At 37.2% G+C, this 24541-nt stretch overlaps 1 protein-coding gene and 1 pseudogene across 15 annotated transcripts in view, besides 3 other annotated features; one reads left to right on the top strand and one right to left on the bottom strand.

The window, feature by feature from the left end:
- FAM169A (family with sequence similarity 169 member A) overlaps positions 1–24541 on the top strand; it is an 89393-nt gene that overhangs the window by 48272 nt on the left and 16580 nt on the right. For 13 of the 15 annotated variants that reach the window (NR_046462.1, XM_047417083.1, NM_015566.3 and 10 more), the window contains 6 exons: positions 4676–4855; positions 13411–13539; positions 14090–14202; positions 17066–17105; positions 17665–17815; positions 22509–22665. Coding sequence is in view for 12 of the 15 variants with exons in the window: in XM_047417083.1 (XP_047273039.1) it covers positions 4676–4855; positions 13411–13539; positions 14090–14202; positions 17066–17105; positions 17665–17815; positions 22509–22665 (770 nt within the window). In the remaining 3 variants the exon portion in view is untranslated. Of the gene's footprint in view, positions 1–4675; positions 4856–13410; positions 13540–14089; positions 14207–17065; positions 17106–17664; positions 17816–22508; positions 22666–24541 lie in introns of all 15 variants that reach the window. The other 2 variants (NR_164753.1, NR_164754.1) reach the window with 2 other exon arrangements.
- Positions 1341–2084: an enhancer, noted in NCBI's record as "OCT4-NANOG hESC enhancer chr5:74112436-74113179 (GRCh37/hg19 assembly coordinates)". NCBI's record gives its function as "activates a minimal SCP1, AML or CMV promoter by ChIP-STARR-seq in naive H9 embryonic stem cells {active_cell/tissue: H9 hESC(naive)}" and the evidence as "EXISTENCE:reporter gene assay evidence [ECO:0000049][PMID:30033119]".
- Positions 3052–3739: an enhancer, noted in NCBI's record as "OCT4-NANOG-H3K27ac hESC enhancer chr5:74110781-74111468 (GRCh37/hg19 assembly coordinates)". NCBI's record gives its function as "activates a minimal SCP1, AML or CMV promoter by ChIP-STARR-seq in primed H9 embryonic stem cells {active_cell/tissue: H9 hESC(primed)}" and the evidence as "EXISTENCE:reporter gene assay evidence [ECO:0000049][PMID:30033119]".
- ARPC1AP3 (ARPC1A pseudogene 3) lies at positions 18289–19801 on the bottom strand (annotated as a pseudogene).
- Positions 23772–24272: an enhancer, noted in NCBI's record as "H3K27ac hESC enhancer chr5:74090248-74090748 (GRCh37/hg19 assembly coordinates)". NCBI's record gives its function as "activates a minimal SCP1, AML or CMV promoter by ChIP-STARR-seq in naive H9 embryonic stem cells {active_cell/tissue: H9 hESC(naive)}" and the evidence as "EXISTENCE:reporter gene assay evidence [ECO:0000049][PMID:30033119]".

Below are 24541 nucleotides of genomic sequence, written 5' to 3'. Positions count from 1 at the left end.
TCTCCCATTTGTTCCCGAGGAAACACTTTGCTGCCTATTAGTGTAGATGAGTTTGCTTTTTCTAGGATTTTATATAAATAAGGACATACAGTATATACTCTTTTTGGCAGTTGGGTGGGGGGGGCGGGGTCTGGGTTCTTTCAGCACATTTTGAGATTCATCCGGTTATAATTCATAGACCATAGACTTAACTTTTTTATGGTGTAGAATTCAGTAACTTTTAGTATATTCATATATTTATACAGCTATCACCACTATCTAATTCCTGAACATTTTCATCACCTCAGAAAGAATCCCTGTACTAATTGGCAATCACTTCCCATTTCCTTTACCCCACAGTCCCTTGAAACCACTAATCTAGTTTCAGGCTGGGTTGTCTTTTTTTTCTTTTTGAGTTGTAAGAGCCCTTCATATGTGTTAGATACAAGACCCTTGTCAGATACATACTTTGGAAATGTTTTCTCCCATTCTGTGAGTTGTCTTACTTTCTCGATGATGTTCTTTGAAGCCCAGAAGTTTTTAATTTTGATGAGGTCTAATTTATCTACTTTTTCTTTTGTCACTTGTGCTTTTGGTGTTATATCTAAGAAGGCTCTGCCTAACCCAAGGTGACAAAGGCTTGCACCTATGTTTTCTTTTAAGAATTTGAGTAGTTTTAGATCTTATGTTTAGGTTTAGAATCCATTTGCAGTTAAAATTTGTATATGATTCTAGGAAGGTACCTGACATCATTATTTTGCATTTGGATATCTAGTTGTACTAGCAGCATTCGTTAAATATATAATTTTCCTCCATAGAATTGTCTTGGCACCCTGTTGAAAATCAATTGACCATAAATACGAAAGTTTATTTCTGGACCCTCAGTTCTATTTCTTCGATCTGTGTATGTGTTCCCATGCCAGTAACATACTGTCCTGATTACTCTAGCTTTGTAGTAAGTTGAAATTTGGAAGTGTGAATCAGTCTTGACAAGTTCTTTGTCAAGATTATTTTGGCTATTTGGGCTCCTTATTTTCCTGTGTGTTTGGGATGAACTTGACAATTTTTTGCAAAACAATTCGCTAGGATTTTGAGTCTTTAGGTTGTATTGGGAAATATGGACATCTTAGCATATTAAGTTTTTAGATCCATGAACATGAGATGTCTTTCCATTTTTTTTAGGTGTTCTCTAATTTCTTTTAACAATGTTTGTAATCTCTATTGTACAAGTTTTGTATGTCTGTTGTTAAATTTATTTTTTTTGATGCTATTATGAATGGTTTTCTTAATTCCATTTTTTGGATTGTTCATTGCTAATGTGTGGAAATACAAATGATTTTTATATATTGATCTTGTATCCTGCAACCTTGCTGAACTTAATAGTTTTAATAGTTTTGTTTTTTAAGTGGATTCCTTAGGATTTTCTATATGTAAGATCATGTTACCTGCAAATAGAGACTGTTTTGCATTTAGCTTCCTGATCTTGAATGCCTTTTCTTTCTTTTTCTTGCCTAATTATTCTAGCTAGATCCTCTAGTACAATGTCGAATGCAAGTGGTGAGAGTAAATATCCTTGTCTTTTTCCTGATCTTAGGAGGAAATATCCAGTGGTTCACCATTATCATGTTAATTGTGGTTTTTTTGTAGATGCCCTGTATTAGGTTGAGGAAGTTGAGTATTTTTATCATGAAAGGTTGGGTTTTGTCAAATGCTTTTTCTCCAGCTATTGAGATGATTAAGTAGATTTTGTTTTATTTACATTCAGATGAGCTCTTTCATTCTTGATTTTGAAGTCTCATGCTTTATAGAGGTTAAAGATAGACATTAGTAGTCATCAGCATTTGGATAAATGGCAGAAGTCTTGGGGGGTGAATAACAATACTCAGAGCACATAGAAAAATGTGGAATTTTGAGGAATATAAACAATCTGACATGTGCAATGCTAAATTAAATGTAATCTGAGCTAGTAAATTTAATGAAAACTTTACCTAAGACAGCAGGTTATAGTTTTTGCTTTACTAGGTAAATCCACAGCTTTTGGTGAATCTTAAAAGTCCCTGATAATATGGAAAGTTTTTCTGCTCTTTATTTGATTGCATTTGTATGAGTCAGACCCTGGAGAGCAGAAGTATTAATATGTAAAGTGTAGGTGAAGGAAGAGAACCAGTATGATTTTCTGATTTTCTGAAAGGAACATGTACATGGCAAGTAAAAAGTAGAAGAAATTTAAATGTTGTGAACACACTGCTTGTTCCATAAACTGGCCATTTTAACACTAGTCTGAGATACTGGAATTTCCCTTTACTAGAAGGAATGTTTCTGTGAAAATAGAAAAAAAAATCAATTTATGAGAAACTTTCTGCATTTCAGTAGTATTCTTTTGTAAGGAGCCTGAAGCATGTAGAGTAATGAACAACCATAGATCCTCAGACTTTGTATTGAGAACTAGAACTAGACAGTGCTTTCTCTTCTCATTCATTTTTGCTTTGTACTTCAAACTTGACTACCACTACTTATAATGTGTGTTAATTTCATGATCACTGCTATTGTTACTCTGAAAACCCTTCAATTTCAAGGCATTAAAAACATAGTGGTTGCGTTAGCTTGTTGATGAGACTGTTACCGGAAAGGGGTCCAAGAGAGGGTTTTTGGGTCTTGCACAAGAAAGAATTCAGGGCAAGTCCATAAAGTGAAAGCAAGTTTATTAGGAAAGTAAAGGAATAAAAGAATGGCTACTTCACAGAGCAGCCTCAAGGACTGCTGGTTGCCCATTTTTATGATTATTTCTTGATGATATGCTAAAGAAGGGGTGGATTATTCATGCCTCCCCTTTTCAGACCATATTGGGTAACTTCCTGATGTTGCCATGGCATTTGGAAACTGTCACGGTGCTAATGGGATTGTAGCAGTGAGGACAACCAGAGGTCACTCTCATTGCCATCTTGGTTTTGGTGGATTTTAGCCAGCTTCTTTACTGCAACCTGTTTTATCAGCAGGGTGTTTATGACCTGCATCTTGTGCCAACCTCCTGTCTCATCCTGTGACTTAGAATGCCTTAACTGTCTGGGAATGCAACCCAGTAGGTCTCAGCCTCATTTTACCCAGTTCCTATTTAAGATGGAGTTGTGCTAGTTCAAACGCCTCTGACAAGATTACTTGTTAGATTTGTACAAGAAATCTAGACCCTTAGAAATAGCCTAACTAAATGTCAGCAATTAAGATCTAAGTATATTGGCTGGGTGCAGTGGCTCACGCTAGCACTTTGGGAGGCTGAGGTGGGGCAGATCACCTGAGGTCAGGAGTTCAAGACCAGCCTAGTCAACATGGTGAAACCCCTGTCTCTACTAAAAATATAAAAATTAGCCAGGTGTGGTGGCGGGCGCCTGTAATCCCAGCTACTTGGGAGGCTGAGGCAGGAGAATTGCTTGAACTCAGGAGGTGGAAGTTGCAGTGAGCTGAAATCGTGCCATTGCCCTCCAGCCTCGGCAACAAGAGTGAAATTCCATCTCAAAAAAAAAAGAAAAAAGAAAAAAAATAAAAATATCTAAGTATATTACCATATGCATTACCTATTCTAAATTTAAATTAGTCGGTAGTCTCGGAGATTGTTCCAGAAAGTTATGTAAGTAATCCAATTCAGTCATAAATAGTTCATATTACTTGGTTGAACTGAAAAAAGTTGTTATATTGATCAGCTCATTAAATGATATGATTGGTAAGACAATTTGTGAGATGTTTGACATTTTGTTTCTTGTTTGAACTACATTATTGGAGTTATCCAAAATCATATGAATAATCTGAGAATAAAAGATTATTTTATTTGAGGCAAAAATAATAGAATAATGACTGATAACTATGAATTCTAAAATTAACAGGAAGTATGACACACCACCACGTTCCCTCAACTTGTAAACTACTTTGATATATTAAAGGAGTTAATACATCTATTGGAATGGTCAAAACCCAGATATAGAGCAGGGTTCTTAAAAGACAAATCAGCATAGCTGTATAATAAGGAGAGAGATATATAGAAACTACAAATTTTTTGTCCTGTTTAACTTTAAACATACAAAATGTATTTAGCATTGTATCTACAGGAAATTTTATCCATGTCTAAGACAGATGTTTCCAATTCGCCCCAATTTATAGTCCTTAAAAATTTGGAGAACTAATTCACTTCTTTACTATCATCAAGTAGATAAAAATGAAATGGTACTCGTTAGGAAAAATGTAGAGGGAAAATATGAATGTTTAAAAAAATACAGATCAGAGACATCCTCAAAGAAAAAAAAAGGATATTCAGGTACTAAGGTTGGAATGATAGTCTTCAAATACTCTTCAAATTTGAAATTTTAATAGTTGATGAGTTTTAGAGTTGCATGAGTCTATAGACAGTGATGGTATATATATAATACATATAGTGAAGTATATATTTTAGAATATGGTACTGAGCTATTTGTCCTATATTTGATGATACTACTAGCAAACATAAAATACATAGCTCCTTTCATTATCACATTATACATTATAATGTCTAATAGTAGCTGAAAAACACTTTATATTATAACATTTATATATTTAACGTTTTTTGATATAGAAGAAAACTTTTTTTAGAAAGACTGTTAACTCATGTCACTAAATGTATGTATATTTTTTAATGTGAGAAATTATTGGGTTTCTGTTCTTATTACTGCAGGAAGCATATGTGCCTCTTTTCTTACCCAAAGTTACCAATTGCCAGTTCTTGATACAATGTTTCTAAGAAAGAAATACAGAGGTAAAGATTTTGGGCTTCACATGCTGGAGGACTTTGTTGATTCCTTTACAGAAGATGCGCTTGGCTTGCGGTATCCACTGTCTTCTCTCATGTATACAGGTAAATGGACTAAGTTAAAAAATAATAAACTTGTCTTTGTGTCACTTCCGACTTGTTTCTTCAAAATACGGTAAATGTGTATATATCAGTATCACATAAATTTGGAACCTTAGGCTCTCTAGAACTTACTTTGGCAAATGTGCCCTTATGTATTTGTTTTCTCGGGGTTTGGCAGTCTTAAAAAACTATAAATGTAATTCATATACCATACAATTGCCGGGCACAGTGGCTCACACTTGTGATCCCAGCACTTTGGGAGGCTGAGGCAGGCGGATCACCTGAGGTCAGGAGTTCGAGACCAGCCTGGCCAACATGATGAAACTCTATCTTTACTAAAAATAAACAATTAACTGGGCGTGGTGGCACGTGCCTGTGATCCCAGCTACTCGGGAGGCTGAGGCAGGAGAATTGCTTGAATCCGGGAGGCAGAGGTTGCAGTGAGCCAAGATCATGCCACTGCATTCCAGCCTGGGTGACAGAGCAGGACTCCATCTAAAAAAAAAAAATCCCAAACCAAACAAAACAACATATGCCATAATATTTGCCCTGTTAAAAGTGTACAATTCAGTGGTTTTTAGTATATTCATAGTTGTTCAATCATAGCCAGCAGTTCCAGAGCATTCTTATCACTCCAAAAAGAAACCCTGTACCAATTCGCAGTCACCATCCATTTCCCCTTCATCCTGTAGCAACCACTAATCTGTTTTCTGTCTCTGTAGATTTACTCATTCTGGACATTTTTCATATAAATGGAATCATATAGCATGTGGCTTTTTGTGTCTGGCTTCTTTCACTTAGCATGTTTTTAAGGTTCATTCTTGTTGTACGTAAATTAGTACTTCATTTCTTTTTATGACTGAATAATATTCCATTGTATGGCTGTACCACAACTTGTTCTAAAGTGATTGCTGCATTTTACATTCCCATAAGCAATATTATATGAGGGTTACAATTTCTCCACATCTTCATCCTCACCAACATTTGTTATTATCTGTGTATTTTATTACAGCCCTCCACATCCTCACCAACATTTGTTATCTGTATATTTTATTACAGGCATCCTAGTGGATGTGCAGGGGCATCTCATAGTTTTGCTTTGCTTTGATGTTGAACATCTTTTCATGTGCTTAATGGTTATTTGTATATCTTCTTTGGAGAAATCTGTTCAGATCCTTTGACCATTTTGGGGGGGGGTTATTTGTTTATGGTAGCTTTTAAAATTAACAAAATAAATTTCAGACATACAAAAAGAAATAAAGAAGCTGGGAATGGTGGCATATGCCTGTTATCTCAGTTACTCCAAAGGCTGAGGTGGGAGGACTGCTTGAGTCCAGGAGTTTGAGACCAGTCTGGGCAACATAGTGAGACCTCACCTCAATTAAAAAAAAAAAAAAGTTTAAAAAGTAAGGCATTGGCTGGGTATGGTGGCTCACGCCTGTAATTCTAGCACTTTAGGAGCCCGAGGTGGGTGGATCGCTTGAGCTCAGGAATTCGAGACCAGCCTGGACAACATGGTAAAACCCCATCGCTACAAAAATTACAAAAAAAATTAGCTGGGTGTGGTGGCTTGTGCCTGTAGTCCCGGTTACTTGAGGGGCTGAAGTGGGAGAATTGCTTGAGCCCAGGAGGTCAAAGCTGCAGTGAGCCGAGATTGCACTACTGCACTTCAGCCTGGGTGACAAATTGAGAGCTTACCTCAAAAAAATAAAAAGAAATAAAAATAAGATATCAAATACTCATGTACTATGTCAGCATGTACCATCCATGAGAAATGGCTTGTTGCCAATATGGTCGAAGCCTTCTATGTACTTCTACCCAATTAGACTCACTCCCCTTCCCTGGGATGAGTACTGTACCTAACTTGGCTTTATTTTTCTCATACATTTCTTAGACTTGTAATACATACGTGTGTATTCTCAAACAATGTGTCAGGTTGCTTTATATATTTAAAAACTATAAATACATACTGTATGAATTCTACAGTTTGCTTTCTTTACTCATCTTTATATTTGTGAGATTCATCCATATGGATTCGTATAGTTCCATTTATCGTCAATGCCGTATTCCATTTTATGGACATATCACTTGGTGATTTAAAACCATTAGTGGGTTTGTTTTTGCATTTGTGTAAAGGTATACAACTACTCAATGAAGTAAGATTTAATTCTGGATAGTAATTAACCTAGAAACTCTTATAAAGTATAATTTACTGTTGATTTCAGTCTAACAGTTGACATTTATTTCCACTGAAAATATATTTTTATTCCAAATCTTCTGCACCTTCTTTAATACCAAAAGCAATCCAGAAAACAGGAACCAAGTACAGAATTAGATGCCCATCTTGAATCATATTTTCTCTCTAAATCCATACATGAGAGTGGGATGGGCATTGTGTGTCCTTGGATAGTCCTAAAATGCATTACCCCCTAATTACTGCTTTACTGAATTTGAGGAGAGATGCAAAGACATCCACTGCAGGCAGAATCCCTTAGCACTTACTCTCTTCTGTGATTCTAATGATAAATAAATTGAATACCAAATGATTTACAGATGATTATCAGCTAATTTCTATCTTCCTATAAAGCCTTAGCACTTTGGAAGGCCGAGGAGGGCAGATCACTTGAGGCCAAGAATGCAAGACTAGCCTGGCCAACATGGTGAAATTCCATCTCCATTAAAAATGTGAAAATTAGCTGGGCATGGTGGCACATGTCTGTAATCCCAGCTACTCAGAAGGCTGAGTCACCAGATTTTGCTTGAGCCTGGGAGGCAGAATTTGTGGTGAGCCAAAATTGTGCCACTGCACTTCAACCTGGGTGACAGAGCGAGACTCTGTCTGAAGGAAAAAAAAAAAAAAAAAAAAAATCCAGGCCTAGTGGTGTGCGCCTGTAGTCCCAGTTACTCGAGAGACTGAGGCAGGAGGATCACTTGAGTACAGGAGTTCAAGGCTGTAGTGAGCCACTGCACTCCAGACTCAGGGAAAGAGCCAGATCCTGTTTCAAAAAAAAAAAAAAAAAAAAGGGCAAATATCTATTAAGTTATAATTTACATACAATAACATGTACTTTTTTTTTTTTTTTTTTTTTTTGAGACGGAGTCTCACTGTGTCACCCAGGCTCTGGAGTGCAGTGGCACAAACTCGGCTCACTGCAAGCTCTGCCTCCCGGGTTCACACCATTCTCCTGCCTCAGCCTCCCGAGTAGCTGGGACTACAGGTGCCCGCCACCACGCCTGGCTAATTTTTTTGTATTTTTAGTAGAGACAGGGTTTCACTGTGTTAGCCAGGATGGTCTCGATCTCCCGACCTCGTGATCCACCCGCCTCGGACTCCCAAAGTGGTAGGATTACAGGCGTGAGCCACCGCGCCCAGCCTACATGTACCGTACATGTACCGTACACAAAAGTGTACATTTTTGCTGACTTCTGACAAACATATGGACCCTTGCTACTGTAGACGCAACCTAGATAGATAATAACTTTGTTTCCAAAAGTTCCCTTTGTGCACCAGTCCCCCGGCTTCCTTCCCTTCCAAACTCTCACTCCAGGCAAGCACTGATGTGCTTTCTGTCAGTACCACTTAGATTTTTCTAGAGTTTCATGAAAAATGGAAATATATGGTATCTCTACTTCTATGTCTGGCATCTTATTTTTGAGGCTCATTGATGTTGCATGTCTCAGTACTTCATTCCTTTTTAAATTTTTTATTATTTTGCTGAGTATTCCTCCCTTTGATTATACCACAATTTATTTGCCTGTTGATAGACATTTGGGTTTTTTCCTTTCTTGGCTATTATGAATAAAGCTGCATGAAAATGTCTTTGTATGATGGACGTTTGTTTTCATTTCTTTGTAGCGAATACCTAAGAGTGTCATTACTGGGTTTTATGATTGTGTTTAACTTTGAGAAGTTGCAAAACTATTTGCTAAGTAGTTATGTCATTTCGCATTCCCGTTAGTATAAATATGTGGAAGTTCTGGTTGCTCTGTGTACTCACCAACACTTGGTTTTTGTCAATCTCTTTAATTTTAATCATTCCTAGTAGTAAGTGGAAAGCACTCATTATGTGGTTTCAATTTATGTTTTCCTGAAGACTAAAGATTTTTGAGTATCTCTTCATGTAATTACTGGATAATCATCTACCCTAAAAAAGGGTAGAACAAGTAAAGTGTTTGTTCACATCTTTTGCTTATGTTGTATTGAATTGCTTGCCTTCTTATTGAGTTATGAGTTATGTTTTTTTTTTGAGACGTAGTCTCGCTCTGTCACCCAGGCTGGAGTGCAGTGGCACAATCTCGGCTCACTGCAAGCTCTGCCTCCCATGTTCACGCCATTCTCCTGTCTCAGCCTCCCAAGCTGTTTGGACTACAGGCGCCTGCCACCACACCTGGCTAATTTTTTGTATTTTTTTAGTAGAGATGGGGTTTCACTGTGTTAGCCAGGATGGTCTCGATCTCCTGACCTCGTGATCCGCCCACCTCGGCCTCCCAAAGTGCTGAGATTACAGGCGTGAGCCACCACACCTGGCCGAGTTATGAGTTCTTTATGTATCCTGGATATGAGTTGTTATATGTGTGTATTGTTAATTCTTTCTCATGGCCTTTTCATTTTCTTTAGTCCATGTGCATTTTTTGCAAGTAAGTTTTGAAATTATTTAGTTTACATCTCCCATCCTACTGTTTATTCTTTATTTGTCCCATTTGTTCTTTCTCCTTTTTTCTTTCCTTTTGGAAGTATTTATCAGTGTTCTATTTTATCTCAACAGTTGGTTTATTAGCCATGTCTTTTTGTTTTGTTTTGTGGCCTGTTGTGTTGGTTTTCTCCAGCTTCTTCCTTCCTTTTAGTTTTGGAAACTAAACCCAGAACATATGAGAAATATTTTCAAATATACAGGGAAAAAAATGATAGACTAGTGTCCTAATTTCTGTACCAAGTCTAGATTGAACAAATGTGAAGATTTTGCCATATTTGTTTTAGTTTAAGGGAGAACTAAATACAATATTTATTGATTGTAATAAAAGATACAATTGATGTTCTCTTTGAACCCTTCCCTAATACCACTCTGCTTTCTCCTTTCCTCCCCAGAGATAATTGCACTCCTGAAGTTAGTGTTTATTTTCCTACTTATGGTTTCATATTTATGTCTGTAAACATTATAAAATATTATTTAGTGTGCTTTCTTAGTTTTTAAACCATTTTTTGTTGTAAAAAATTATACATAATACCTTATTTGTAGGTGAACAGTTCAGTGGCTCTTATGCACAGTGTTTTGTACCCATCACCACTGTCTATATCCAAAGCTTTTCAATCATCTGCAACATCAACTTTCTCCCCATTAAACAATTAACTCCCCTTTTCCCCTACCCCCATCTTCTGGTAGGTAACCTGTTTTCTGCTTTCTGTCCCTATGAATTTGCCCATGCTAGCTACCTCATCTAAATGGAATCATACAATATTTATTTTTCTGTGTCTGGCTTACTTCACTAAACATAATGTCTTTGAGGTCCATCATGTTGTAGCATATACAGTATCAAAATTCCATTCCTTTTTATGGCTGGATAGTATTCTTTTGTTTGAATATACAGTATTTTGTTTTGCCATTCATCTATTGATGGACAGTTAGGTTGTTTCTACCTTTTGGCTATTGTGAATAATGCTTCAATGAATGTTGGTGTACAGATACCTGTTTGAGTCTCTGCTTTCATTTCTTTTGAATGTATACCTGAGGATGAAATTGGTGGGTCATACGGTAATTCTGTGTTTCATTTTTTGAGGAACTGTCAAACTGTTTTCCACTGTGGCTGTACCTCCTCCTCCTGGGTTCAAGTGATTCTCCTGCCTCAGCCTCCTGAGTAGCCACCATGGCCGGCTAATTTTCTGTATTTTTAGTAGAGATGGGGTTTCACCATGTTGATCAGGCTGGTCTTGAACTCCTAATCTCATGATCTGCCTACCTTGGCCTCCCAAAATGCTGGGATTACAGGCGTGAGCCGCTGTGCCTAGCCTTATTTAGTGTGTTTTTAAACTTTTTATACGTGGCATCATTTTGTTCATTTACTGGCCCACATTTTTACTGAGCATTTTTAAAAGAGTTATCAATGTTGATTTAGGTAGCCATAATTCATTTGTTTTAAATACTACACAGTATTTTTATTACATACATATTACAGTTTATTCATATATTTCCCTACTGTTGGGCACTTAGGTTGTGTCCGGTCATCCTAGTTTAAAAGTAGTCCTGTAATGAATGTTACAAATGTTTTTTGCATATGTACAAATGGCCCTTGACTTATGATGGTTTGGCTTTTGATTTTATGATGGTACAAAAGTGATACTCATTCAGTAGAAACAGTCATTTGAATTTTTATCTTTTCCTTTGCTAATGATATGTGGTATGATACTCTCTCATGAAGCTGGGCAGTGGCTGCCAATCACAGCTCCCAGTCAGCCAGGTGATCGCAAGGGCAACCAACCAATACTCTACAGAGTACTGTATTCAATAAAGTATGTGAAATATTCAACAGTTTATCATAAAATAGGCTTTGTGTTAGATGATTTTGCCCGGCTATAGGCTGAAGGCTGTGTTCTGAACTGTAAGTGTTCAGAACACATTTAAGGTAAGTGAGGCTAAGCTATGATGTTTGATAGGTTAGGTGTAGTGAATGCATTTTTGACTTAGTGGTATTTTCAATTTATGATGGGTTTATCAGAATGTAACCCCAGTGTAAGTCAGGGAGCATCTGTATAAGGAATTAGGGTTTATACCTAGAAGTAGAATTGGATCATAAAAGCCTTTTCAACTTTACTGTTGCAAAATTATTATCCCACCAGCAGAGTGTGTGTTTCCATTTCCCTTATTCTTCTTGGTGCTTGTCATATCCTGCAGGTGTGAAAATCATATCTTATCTTTCCTTGGCAGCTAGTGAGGTTTATCATCTTTATCTTTGTTTATTGACCACTCAGATTTCATTAGGTGTGAAATTCCTGTTCATAGTCTCTGTCAGTTTTTCTTTGGGATAACTTTGTCTTTTGAATTCAATTTCAGAAATTCTTTATATATTCTGAGTACTAATTGTTTGTTTTACTCTAAATATCTCCTAATCTGTGTCTTTCTGGTATCATTTTCATGTAGAATGGTGCAGTTCAATACAGTAGTCACTAATTTAAATATAAGTTTAAGTTCAGTTCCTCAGTAGTCACATGTGGCTAGTGGCTACTGTATTGGACAGTGCTGGTAATAGGACATGTCTATCATCACAGAAAGTTCTGTTGCACAGTCCTGATATACTAGGTTTTAAATCTTAATAGATCATACTTTTTCATCATGGACTGTGATTTTTGTGTCTTTGTAAGGAATCCATCTGAACCCTAATGTCCTAGAGGTATTCTCCTATGTTTTCTTTTAAACATTTTGTTTTTCACATTAGGTCTTAGAATTTGTTTAGAATTTATGTTGATGTGAGGTCAGGATCTGACTTTATTGCTTTTTTATATGGATTTTTATTTCAGCACCATTATTTTAGTAGTTTATCCATTCTTTGCTGAAGTGTAATGCCTTTTCTGTCATTTGGCAAGTTGTAGTGTACGTGTGGTTCTTTCCTAGTGGAGTTTCTTTGTGACTTATTTGTGGATTTTTTGTTTGTTTGTTTTTTGGTATTTTTCTTCTCCTTCTCCCTCCCACTCCCAGTCCGTTTATATATCCTTCTGTCAATACTAGGTTGTTTCAATTACTATGGTTTTTAAATGCTTGGTTTCAAATACTTGGTACTTGTTTCAAATACTTGGTATCTACTTGGACAAGTCTCTATCCTTATTTTTCTTCTTCAGAATTGACCTGAATATTATTTCTTTTTTTTTTTTTTTTTGGAGCTTTTAAATTCATGTATAATAGTTGTACATACTGAATATTTTCTTATCCTTTGTTCTTTCATTTTTGAATTTGGGATCAAGTTTTGTTAAGTTTCATTAAAAAATAAGTTGTGTTGGGATTTGTTTGGAATTGCATGGAATTTATAGATCAATTTGATGAGAACTGGTATTTTTATACTATTGAGTCTGACAATCTTTTTATTCAGTTTTTCTATGTCCCTCTGTAACATTTAATCATTTTTTTCTTTAAAAGCAAAGCACTTTTTTAACAAAAATTGGCCAGGCATGGCGGTGGGTGCCTGTAATCCCAGCTACTCAGGAGACTGAGGCAGGAGAATTGCTTGAACCTAGGAGGCGGAGGTTGCAGTGAGCCGAGATCGCGCCACTGCATTCCAGCCTGGGCGACATAGCAAGACTCCATCTCCAAAAAAAAAAAAAAAAAAAAAAAGCGAAGCACATTTTTAAAGGATTTTTATTGTTCAGTCGTGTTAAAACTTTTATTTGGGATTTTTATTTAGAATTTTTATTTATAAATGAAACTACTGTATACTTGAGTTGTGTTGCTGGTGTTTTGGTATCAAGGTTATGCTAGCCCCGTTAAGTGAGTTGGGAAGCTTACTTTTCAACTCCTGTTTTTCAAAACAGTGGATATTTGGGATTTCTAGAAAATTCTAAATGTGTTTTTCAGCTTGCAAGCAATACTTTGAGAAGTATCCAGGAGACCATGAACTCCTTTGGGAAGTTGAAGGTGTTGGACACTGGTACCAGCGAATACCAGTCACCAGAGCATTACAAAGAGAAGCACTTAAAATTCTAGGTAAGAGTGTTTTCAGTTTGAACATAAGTTCAGTTTATTTATTTTTGGTAGCCTGTCCTTGCTGGCCCATAAGTCCAGTTTAAAAAGCAGAGGCTAATAATGGTTGTGTCTTAGAGTCCAGAGTGGTAGTGTATTATAATGTGATTGTTCTAGTAACAGACTCTCTTGTCTAAGGTTTGAATTTTGGTAATGTATTAACTTTTGAGTCCTTAGTAACAAGGAGACCTAGAACAGCCCAGTAGGAATTGGTGGGTAAGAAATAAACGTAGATTACTCAAACGGCATAGAATAGGCACCAGGGGGTCCAAAGTACCCCTTAATCTCATGCACTTCTCCCCAAAGCTACTAAATACTTAAAATAACTATTTAACATTGTATATAATGGCAATGTTGCATTATAGGATATTGGTGAAGAGAACATCTCACACCTAGATTTTCGTGACCCTTCTGTCCAGGCTGCTCTTCAGAGCTTTTAGGAAAATCAGTACAATGTTAGAGTTAAAACCAAATACTGATTCGGTTACAGTTTTTAAAATTCTTCTATACGCAGCACTTTCTCAAAATGAACCTAAAAGACCTATGTCTGGAGAATATGGTCCTGCATCTGTTCCAGAATACGAAGCAAGAACTGAAGACAATCAGTCTAGTGAGATGCAGCTAACTGTAGGTACACTGTCTATATGTTTATTGTTGTATATAAAATTTTTGTGTTTTTAAAAAATAGATACAGGTTATATTTGAGTTTTAAATGTCATAGTTCATTCAACAAAGCTATGTAATTTCTACTGTGTTAGTTTTCCTGGCATCTTCTGTTAATATTACTAAGGACTTTAATTTTCTTTGAAAAATAATTTTAATGATGTTAAAAGTATGAGCTAATTTAAGGGTAATTTAGAATAAACATAAAATAATATAGAAGAAAATAAAAATCTATAATCCCACTATTCAGATATAGCCACTGTTAAAATTTTTGCATATATATTTAATATCGCATATTATAAAGCATGTATCTGTATATATTGTATTTTTATTTTTATTCTCTTGGATTGCTTCTAACTGCTGTTCTCCATTAATGTAATATTGGAAGCATTTTCTATGGCATTAAATCATTAAAATGTGATTGTTACATAGCAGCACACTATTCTATTATCTATTTTATGTAACTATCATTATTTGTTTCCTTAACATAGGATCCTTAAATTTTTAACATTTTTAAATGACCCAGGAGCAAACACATTTATATATGAATCCTTGTGTATATGTAATTACTTATCTTAACATACAAATTTCCAGAAGTGGAATTAGTAGGTGAAAGACTATGAAGTTGTTATGTTGTAAAGTTTGAGGCTGTATATGCTAGTCTTTGTAGAATGTAATGCACTTTGCAAATATTAGGTATCCTGAAAGTAGAAGGACAGGTCCCGTTACCAAACTCCACAGGACTTACCAGGTCCTTTTCTAGAACTGATGTTTTGTGGTACTGCTTAAAATATGGCCCATTGATGGGACTCTAGAAGTCTAGGGTTTTGGGGGATGGCATTTATTACAGTCATATTTTTGTATGTGTGTATCTAAGTTTATTTTTGGTGAGTGTTAGAAACACTACATATGTTGTACGTGTGTATCTAAGTTTATTTTTGGTGAGTGTTAGAAACAACTGCTTTAGGGAATTATTTGTGCTTATTTTCTGTCTCAATTAGCATGAGAGTTGACTATTCGAGTGGCAAATTTGTAAACATTTTTAAGAATAACAATATATGTAAGGAGTTAGATTCTTGGGATTTTTTTTTCCTACTTTTGGAAATTCAGACTTGAGAATAAGCTCCTGTTCTACTGCAGTCCAAATTCCTGAGAGATACACAGATTCATTTAGTATTGGCCAGTTATAAAATCAAGGAAAGTAGAAAATCTACTCTTCCTATAAATGTAACGAGAGCAATGATTTACTTTAATACTAAGCCAAATAATTTTAGATGTGTCATTTGAGTGAGAATATATGACAGTGGTACTATATCATACAGTTGACAGCATAAATTAGATTTTAGAATCTAACCTATTTAAGATTTTAGAAATTCATATTCTTCATATTACTTTAATGTTTTAAATAGTTGAAGGAAATGTTTATCATATTAAACTATTTATATCTCTTTTTGTTAGTAGCCACAAATAGTTTAGTTTATTTCAACTACATGATTTATTCTTTAGGTGATGATGGTATTGTTACCTGCTTTTTCCTATTATTTATCTTACACTTTTTGCACCTTTTATTTATTCATCTTTATCTACATTTTAACCTTTTCTTGTTGGACTACAAGTTGGTTGAAGCAAGATATTTGTCATATGATTTATCACAATTGCTCCCTTGCTTTTGTTCTATAAATTGAAGGCTGTGTGCCCACTATATTGTGGAGTTTTAGTAAGCATGTAATGGATGAATAAAGTAGTTACTATGGCAAGCATTGGACATATAAAGATATGGTTCTTAGACATGGGAGAACTAGATGGTCCATTGTTGGAAATATATAATATACTATAGCATAATAATTGCTTTATTATAGCAAGTAATTGGAGGTACATAGGAGAGGATGACTTTTAAAGGGTGGGTGGGAATTTTCTTAGGGCATTCCAGACGATAGCATGTAAAAAAGTTACAGAGGTGTAAAGGAAATGGCATGTTTGATATGAAAGAGGTATTTGGTATTGAATAGGTTGAGAATTTGTATTCTAAGCAGTGGTTGGCCATTAAAAGTTTTTTCCTCTTTTTTTTTTTATCAAAAAAATGGTACAATTTGTGATTCGAAAGTATCACTTTGTCATCAGGGTGGAGGGGTGTAGATGGGATGTGATTAGAATGAGGGATATGAGTGAGGAGGCTGTTGGAATAGTTGGTTCAAGAGACTAAAGATATAAACTAAAGCAATGGTAGTACAAAGGACAGGACAGTTTTGAGAGATTCTTCAGTTAAAATTGAAAGGCTTTGTGATTGATTACATGTGAGTTAGGAAGAAGTCATTGCTGACTCACTGTTTTCTGGCTAGAATGACTGACTGAATCGTCATTAAGCAAGATAGGGAATAATATTGGGGAAAGATAAAGTTCATTTTGGGAATGATTGAGTGTGAAATTGGATGGGACATCCACTGGGAGATATTTCATTGGAAATAAAGCTTTGGAAATCAGGAAGAAAGTTTGGAGGCTTAAGTCTCATATTTGAATTCATCAATAAGCAGATACTGAAGTAAGCATAGTGAAGGGAGAGCATGTGGACTGAGCAGAGAAGGTGGCTGAGGACAGAACTAGGAGACACTAGTGGACACACTATGACATATTAGATGACTTGCATATGTTCTCAGTCTTTTAAACTGAAGCTGAACTATAACCTTTTTATTTTTAAAGTAAATGTTGTTAACAAAAAGTGCTATTTGGAAAACATTTTACAAGTTTTTCTTTGAAACTATAAGTGAAATAGATCCATAGGGAGAAAAAATAGTCTAAAACTTTGGGTTTGAATCTCTCTCTTTTTTAGATTGATTCTCTAAAAGATGCCTTTGCAAGCACTTCCGAAGGTAAGAAATTCAACTGATATATCAGTAAGTATTTGAGACACTTCAAATTAGGGCTGTGTGTGTGTGTGTGCATGCATGTGTGTGTGGTGTGTCACCCTGAGAAAGTGAAGACTTAACCAGCTCTAAAATCTAGATCTGGGTTCTCATGCCACCACTGCCACTGATTTTGCTATGTGAACACTGAGTAAGCTATTGTACCTCTCTCTTCCTTGTTTCCTTAGCTATAAAATAGGGATGGTAATGTCTACGTTGTTTATTTTCCAAGATTATTGGGAGGGAATGCAAGTGAAATACAAAAACACTTTGCAAAGCCCAAGATAACATGGAACGTGAGGAATGACTTACACAGTTCATATAACTTGACAAAGTTACATAATTTAGAAAAAGATGTAAATTATAAAATAATTTTCTTAGCCTGACATAAGTGAGGGGAGGGTGAACCTGTGTAATGTGGAGGATATGTGTAAACTAGTGTAGTTCTTGCATTTCTGTGTATTTTAATAGGTAGTCCTTTTAATATATAATCAATTAAGTGCAGTTTTGCTGTTTTTCTCCTCAGGTCATGATAAAACATCTGTTTCCACTCATACTCGAAGTGGTAATCTAAAGCGGCCAAAGATTGGAAAGCGGTTTCAGGATTCTGAATTTAGCAGTTCTCAAGGTGAAGATGAAAAGACCTCCCAGACTTCACTTACAGCTTCAATAAACAAGTAAATAATTGTTGATTTTACTCTCATTTTTTATTTGTACTTTTATTTTTTGTTTATACTTTTATATTATCAATATTTAATATTTTATATATAATATATACTATTTTATATTGTTTATTATACTTTTGGTATACTTTTAATATACTTTTAATATACTTTTTGGTATTTAGCATTTAAGGTAGAGGCGATTACATTGTTTGTGTAGCAGATGACTTTGGTGTAGGAGTTTGTATTTGAATTATTTATATTTGAATTATTGTACAAGATTATTAGTTGTTTATCAGTGCTAAGTGTTGCCTTGACAATGCTATTGGGAGAAGCTGCTAATAAGAGACTGGCATAAACTCACTTCATGTGTGACAATCCAGGAGACTATTCTAGTGATTATATTATCCCAAATTAGTCATTATCACCACGCTGAATTTGATGGTATGGTTTTAAGTAATGCTGAGATATAGTCAGTTTTTTTCCCCCCGCATTCAATTCTTTTATTTAATTTTCTAGTGGACAGTTTACATATCTCCCTGTCTTTTAAGTTAGTGTGACAATTTTCCATAATAAACTACTTAAAAGAAAAGCTTTGGTCAAGAATGGAATGAAATTGCAAAAAAAAAACAAACAAAAACATTGCTTTTAAAAAACCAACATTTTCACCAATTTTATATTCAAACAAAACCACATGATATTGGCGTGATATGTGTTTTCAGTGTTTCCTTGGGGCTGGCTTCCTAGCCATCGTGCCACGGCACAGCTGCAGTCAGCCATAGTTTGTCACGCTGGATGGCGGAGGCTCACTCAGCTTCAAATTATCCTTGAAATCCCAAATTGTCATGGCTCTCCATCGATGCCAGTAGTGCAATATTTGCGACAATCTTTCTCATCCACCTCATAAATAGAGACTTGAGTGATGCTATTCTGGCGCAGCATCTTCAAAGCCATGTTGGAGCCCTCAGTCGTGGCCCTCTTGTCCGTGTTGCAGAAGCATTCCATGGCAGACATGTTGCGTTGGATGCTCTGTTTTGGAATGTCTAACTTGGAGACAAAGGTCAGGCAGCCACGGTCATCGTAGTTCAAGAGCATTGGTCAGCAGTCATGGCCAGCAGCCACGGCGCTGTTGTCTGAGACAGATGACACACTCAGGAGCAGCTGGAACTCCGTCTTCAGATTGAGACATGCACACTTTTTGAGGCATCAGCAGCAGACATGGTGCTGTCGTGGCTGGCCCAGGCCAGGTGGCTCCCACTGGCGGAGAAGCTGACCCCGTGGACCCAGCCACCAGTGCCACCGCCACCAGACTCTGACATCAGCTGCCCAAAAAGCATCTTGCTGTCCCAGGGCATGCTGGCCAGCTTTTCATCCACTTCTTTAATGTAGGAAGAAAACACTCTGTGTTTGAAGTCACATGATCCTGCTGCCAGCAAAACATTGTTGGGATGCCAATCCAAGCTGAGGACTGTGGAGCGAATCAGCTTTTTAATGTGCTTGCTCACCCACCAGTCATTTTCAGACTCAAAGTAACAAACTGAAATGAGTCGTGCTTCACTTCCCACAGCAAATTTGTTCTCTAGGGCGGACCACTTCACAAAAGTAGCTGTGCGATTAATTCTCAGGATCATCAGTGTTGGCTTCCAGACACCATCTTTCTGACTCCAGACATAGGCATTGTGGTCTGCCCCACAAGTGACGATGTGGTCATGCTTGGGAGCCCAGTCAATATCTGTGATGTGTCCATTGTGCTCCTTGAGTTCGTGAGCTTTCACACACTGGCGCCCATTCTTCTTATAGATGTGCACTTCGTGATTATTGACACTGAGGGCAATCTGGGTACGATCCCTGTTTCAGGCACGACAGTTGATTGGCTCTAGTAAAAACTGATGCAGTGACATTATTCTTAGTGTTTTCAAAGGAGAGAAAGCTGGGGTCGGGGCAGTCCGGACGGTCTTGGAGCAGAGGATTTACGGACTCTGGGCAGTCGATGTGAACAGGGCTCTAGTCAGTTTTAAAATACCCTCAATTTTACTTTATTGATTCATTTTACTGGGCTATTGGATATAAATTAGTGATAACCATAAATAGTACAGTGAATTCCTTCAGGAATTTAGTTGCCAACTGAATCAACAGAACACTTGAGTCTCAGCTTTATCCTCTTTCTTTGAATCTTAAAGCAAGACTCTAACTTTTATAATAAAATAAGATTTCTGCCCTAACAGTTCTGCCAACTGTTCCTGAGTCAACCATTTAGTTAATTCATAACTTTGCCATTTTAACTGTCAAATTATTTTAGTCAAGTAGAGAATTCTGTAGCTGTGCTAATCCTTATACAAATAATTTTAAATTTGGGTAATAAAGTATGTAAATGTTTTGTTTTGGTGAAAATTTGTAATGTTAAAGATAGATATAAGGAAATATTTAAATCTAGTAATAAAAATATGAGTTTAGAAAACTGTGGTTTTCTCACTGAGCAATATTTTGATATAGTACCCTTTTTAGAAGGGTAACAATATATTTTAAATTGAACCTCCCAGAATTATTGTGGAATTTTGTTTGCTTTTCATAAACGGAACAGTTAGGAGTTTATGCTTGACTGTTTGCTGAAACATACGAAGAACAAAACATCATCTTTGCCCTCAAAGGATTGACTGCCTAGGGGTAAAGAGAGATATGTACACAGTTAAGAGCACCGTAAGGCGGATTGTGATAGAACAGTAATGGAAAGTGCAGAATGCTGTGGATACAGAGGAAAGAGTGTTGGATTCTAATTGAGGGGATGGAGAGATTTGGCATTTGGGCCTGGGCTTCAAAGATAAGTAGAAACTCAACAAGCAGAGCTGGGAGAGAAGACTTTCTAGTGTAAAGGTCCACCAACTATGGCCTGTAGGCCAAATCTGGCCTGCCACCTGGTTTTGTGAATAAAATTTTTTTGTAAGACACCCATGCTCATTAAGCTTATATATTTTTATTGTTTATTAAGCATATATATTTTTATATATTATTAAGCTTATATATTTTTAGTTAATGTTTGCATTGGAACGGCAGAGTTGAGTGTTTGGAACAGAGACCATATGGCCCACGATGCCTAAAGGAAAGGTTTGCTGACTCCTTATCTACACCAAGGCTGAGAAATAGAACTTTCTGCAGTGATGGAAATATTTTGTATTTACACTGCCCAGTATGATAGCCATTAGCCAGTGTGCCCATTGAACACTTGAAGTATGGCTAGTGCAACTAAAGAACTCAATTGTTTCATTTAATTTTAATTTAAATGTAAAATAGTCAAGTGTGTCTCGTGGCTATTGTATCTACAGATTTCGACTAAAGCACTAACATGAGCAAAGGCACAAAGCTAGGAGGGATGTTGCTAAGGATAACTGATGAATAAGGTAAATAAAATTATAAGGGTCTAGGCTGGGCACGGTGGCTCATGCCTGTAATCCCAGCACTTTGGGAGGCCGAGGCAGGTGGATCACCTCAGGTCAGGAGTTGGAAACCAGCCTGGACAACATGGCAAAACCCTGTCACTACTAAAAATACAAAAATTAGCCGGGCGTGGTGGCACACTTCTGTAATCCCAGCTACTCAGGAGGCTGAGGCAAGAGAAACGTTTGAACCCAGGAGGCGGAGGTTGCAGTGAGCCAAGATTACGCCACTGCACTCCAGCGTAGGTGACAGAGGGAGACCCTGTCTCAAAAACAAAAACAAACACAAACAAATATGTTAGGCTTTCAAAGAAGGTACACTTTATTCACTGAGCTTATAGAGAACCACCAGACGTTTCTGAGCTGGGCTATCACAGGTGTAGATGATGTGCATTAGAAAGCCAGCTCTTTGAAAGCCTTGATGAAGATGTACTACAAGTCTGAAGCTGAATTGGGGAGAAGTACAGTGGTCCAGAGAGAACTGGGGCCTGAAGCAGAGCTGTGAAAATGGGCATAGAAAGTCAGGAATATATTTGAAAGGCAGTTTTGGAGTTAGAACTAAACCATATAATGTGTTGTCCAAGGTGACATTTTTGAGAATGAAAGGAGCATTATTAATAATTATGCCAGTATCCATAATTATGAACAAAAGTCTGTAAACTGGGACTGCTCCAGGTAAACTGGGATATATGCTCATTCTAATAGAATAAGATCCATGGTCCTTCAGTATAAATGAGGTTAAAAAAAAAAAAAAGATTCAGGCTGGGCGCTGTGGCTCACACCTGTAATCCCAGCACTTTGGGAGGCCAAGATGGGCGGATCACGAGGTCACGAGGTGGAGACCATCCTGGCTAACATGGTGAAACCCTGTCTTTACTAAAAATACAAAAAATTAGCTGAGCGTGATGGCAGGTGCCTGTAGTCTCAGCTGCTCGGGGGCTGAGGCAGGAGAATCGCTTGAACCTGGGAGGTGGAGGTTGCAGTGAGCCGAGATCGCGCCATTGCACTCCAGCCTGGGCAACAGAGCGAGACTTTATCTCGGAAAAAAAAAAAGATCCATTAAGATATGGATAGAATAAAAGAAGAAGGGTCTAGTTTACATAATTGAGAAGATGGTAATATTATAAGAGGATGAAGAGATTGGTTTTAGACTTGTAAAATCTGAAGTTGTTGACAACATAGTTGATTCTCTAAAATGTTACTTTAAGAAAGGACTTCTGAGATTTTATATTTATCCTTAATAAAACAAGTCAGAATGGTTTTCTTTTGTTTTTTAGATTGGAGTCTACTGCACGCCCATCAGAGAGCTCAGAAGAATTCCTGGAAGAAGAACCTGAACAGAGAGGGATTGAATTTGAGGATGAAAGCAGTGATAGAGATGCACGGCCAGCACTGGAAACCCAGCCACAGCAAGAGAAGCAAGATGGTGAAAAGGTATGAGATCACTTATTCAGCAAAATGAAAAAAAGTAAACTAAATTTTACCTTTCTTAATCACATGTTGTTAGAAAAGTATAGCGATATATTTTAGAGTGTTAGAAATTGCGTTTAGTGTTAAAAATCATATATATTAAGCAAGGTCAGGTACTAGAGTTGGGGAGAGGATAAAATTACAAATATGATTGTGTTTATAAAAGTTTGAGCTTATAAAAGTTTGAATTATATCGAAGATAAAATAGAGATGTTTAGTAAGATCTTTTGGTGCATTTAAAGTATAAGTTAATTTGTGGAATTAAACACACTTACATACACAAATGATATAAGATCTACCTTATAGAACCAGTTAAAATGCTTTCAGGTGCAATAAACCTTCAGGGGCACCCCCATTTTAGTTAGAGGGGTAGGAATTACTAATCCAGAAAAAAAATTTGATGACTGTTGATCTCACAAAGTTCTGGAAAAATAACTAAATTCATGTTTTTTAAACACTAGAAAAAAATATATAAACCCTTGGTAACTAAGTAAACTCTTCATCTGGGTTGATTTCTGCAGCTTTAAAGTATTTATCCCCAGCTTCTTTTTTCTTTCCTCTATCCATTTCCATTTTTCTCTTTAGTATCTTCAATCTTTTCCTTTCCACAGATTCTCTATTTCTTCTTTCATATGTTCATAAATTTCTTGAAAAAATCTTTCAGCTGTTTGCCAAGTCTAGCAGGCAGGTGAATAAGTGAAATTATATTACCAATTTTGTTTTCTTTTTCTTTTTGAGACGGAGTTTTGCTCTTTGCACCCAGGCTGGAGTGCAGTGGCGTGATCTTGGCTCACTGCAACCTCTGCTTCCTGGGTTCAAGTGATTCTCCTGCCTCAGTCTTCCAAGTAGCTGGGATTACAGGTTCCCCCCACCATACCCAGCTAATTTTTGTATTTTTAGTAGAGACGGGGTTTCACCACTTTGGCCAGGCTGGTCTCAAACTCCTTACCTCAGGTGATGTGCCCGCCTCAGCCTCCCAAAGTGCTGGGATTACAGGCGTGAGCCACCGTGCCCAGCTAATTTTGTTTTCTTAAGTTACTCTGATTTAGCTCCTGCTTCCTCTATTTCATGAAATGACATATGTTATGTCAGCTCACTGCAGCCTCCATCTCCTGGGTTTAAGCAATTCTCCTGCCTCTGCCTCCCGAGTAGCTAGGATTACAGGTACACCAACACGCCCGGCTAATTTTTGTGTTTGTTTTTTTTTTTTTTTTTGAGACGGAGTTGCGCTCTGTCGCCCAGGCTGGAGTGCAGTGGCGCGATCTCGGCTCACTGCAAGCTCTGCCTCCCGGGTTCAGGCCATTCTCCTGCCTCAGCCTCCTGAGTAGCTGGGACTACAGGCACACGCCACAACGCCCGGCTAATTTTTTTGTATTTTTTGTAGAGACGGGGTTTCACCGTGTTAGCCAGGATGGTGTTGATCTCCTGACCTTGTGATCCGCCAAGACGGGGTTTCACCATGTTTGCCAGGCTGGTCTTGAACTCCTGATCTGCTCCTCTTGGCCTCCCAAAGTGCTGGGATTACAGGCATGACCCACCATACCCGGCCTCATGAAATGATATTTTTATGTTTATTTTCGTAATATTTCTTTTTTTTTTTGAGACGGAGTCTCACTCTGTTGTCCAGCCTGGAGTGCAGTGGCACAATCTCGGCTCACTGCAAGCTCCGCCTCCTGGGTTCACGCCATTCTCCTGCCTCAGCCTCCTGAGTAGCTGGGAGTACAGGTGCCCGCCACCATGCCCCGCTAATTTTTTGAATTTTGAGCAGAGATGGGGTTTCACCGTGTTAGCCAGGATGGTCTTGATCTCCTGACTTCATGATCCGCCGAGACGGGGTTTC

The sequence above is a fragment of the Homo sapiens genome, chromosome 5 (genome assembly GCF_000001405.40).
Source record: "Homo sapiens chromosome 5, GRCh38.p14 Primary Assembly".
Lineage (NCBI taxonomy): Eukaryota > Metazoa > Chordata > Mammalia > Primates > Hominidae > Homo > Homo sapiens.
This window is presented reverse-complemented; position numbering and strand designations above follow the sequence as displayed.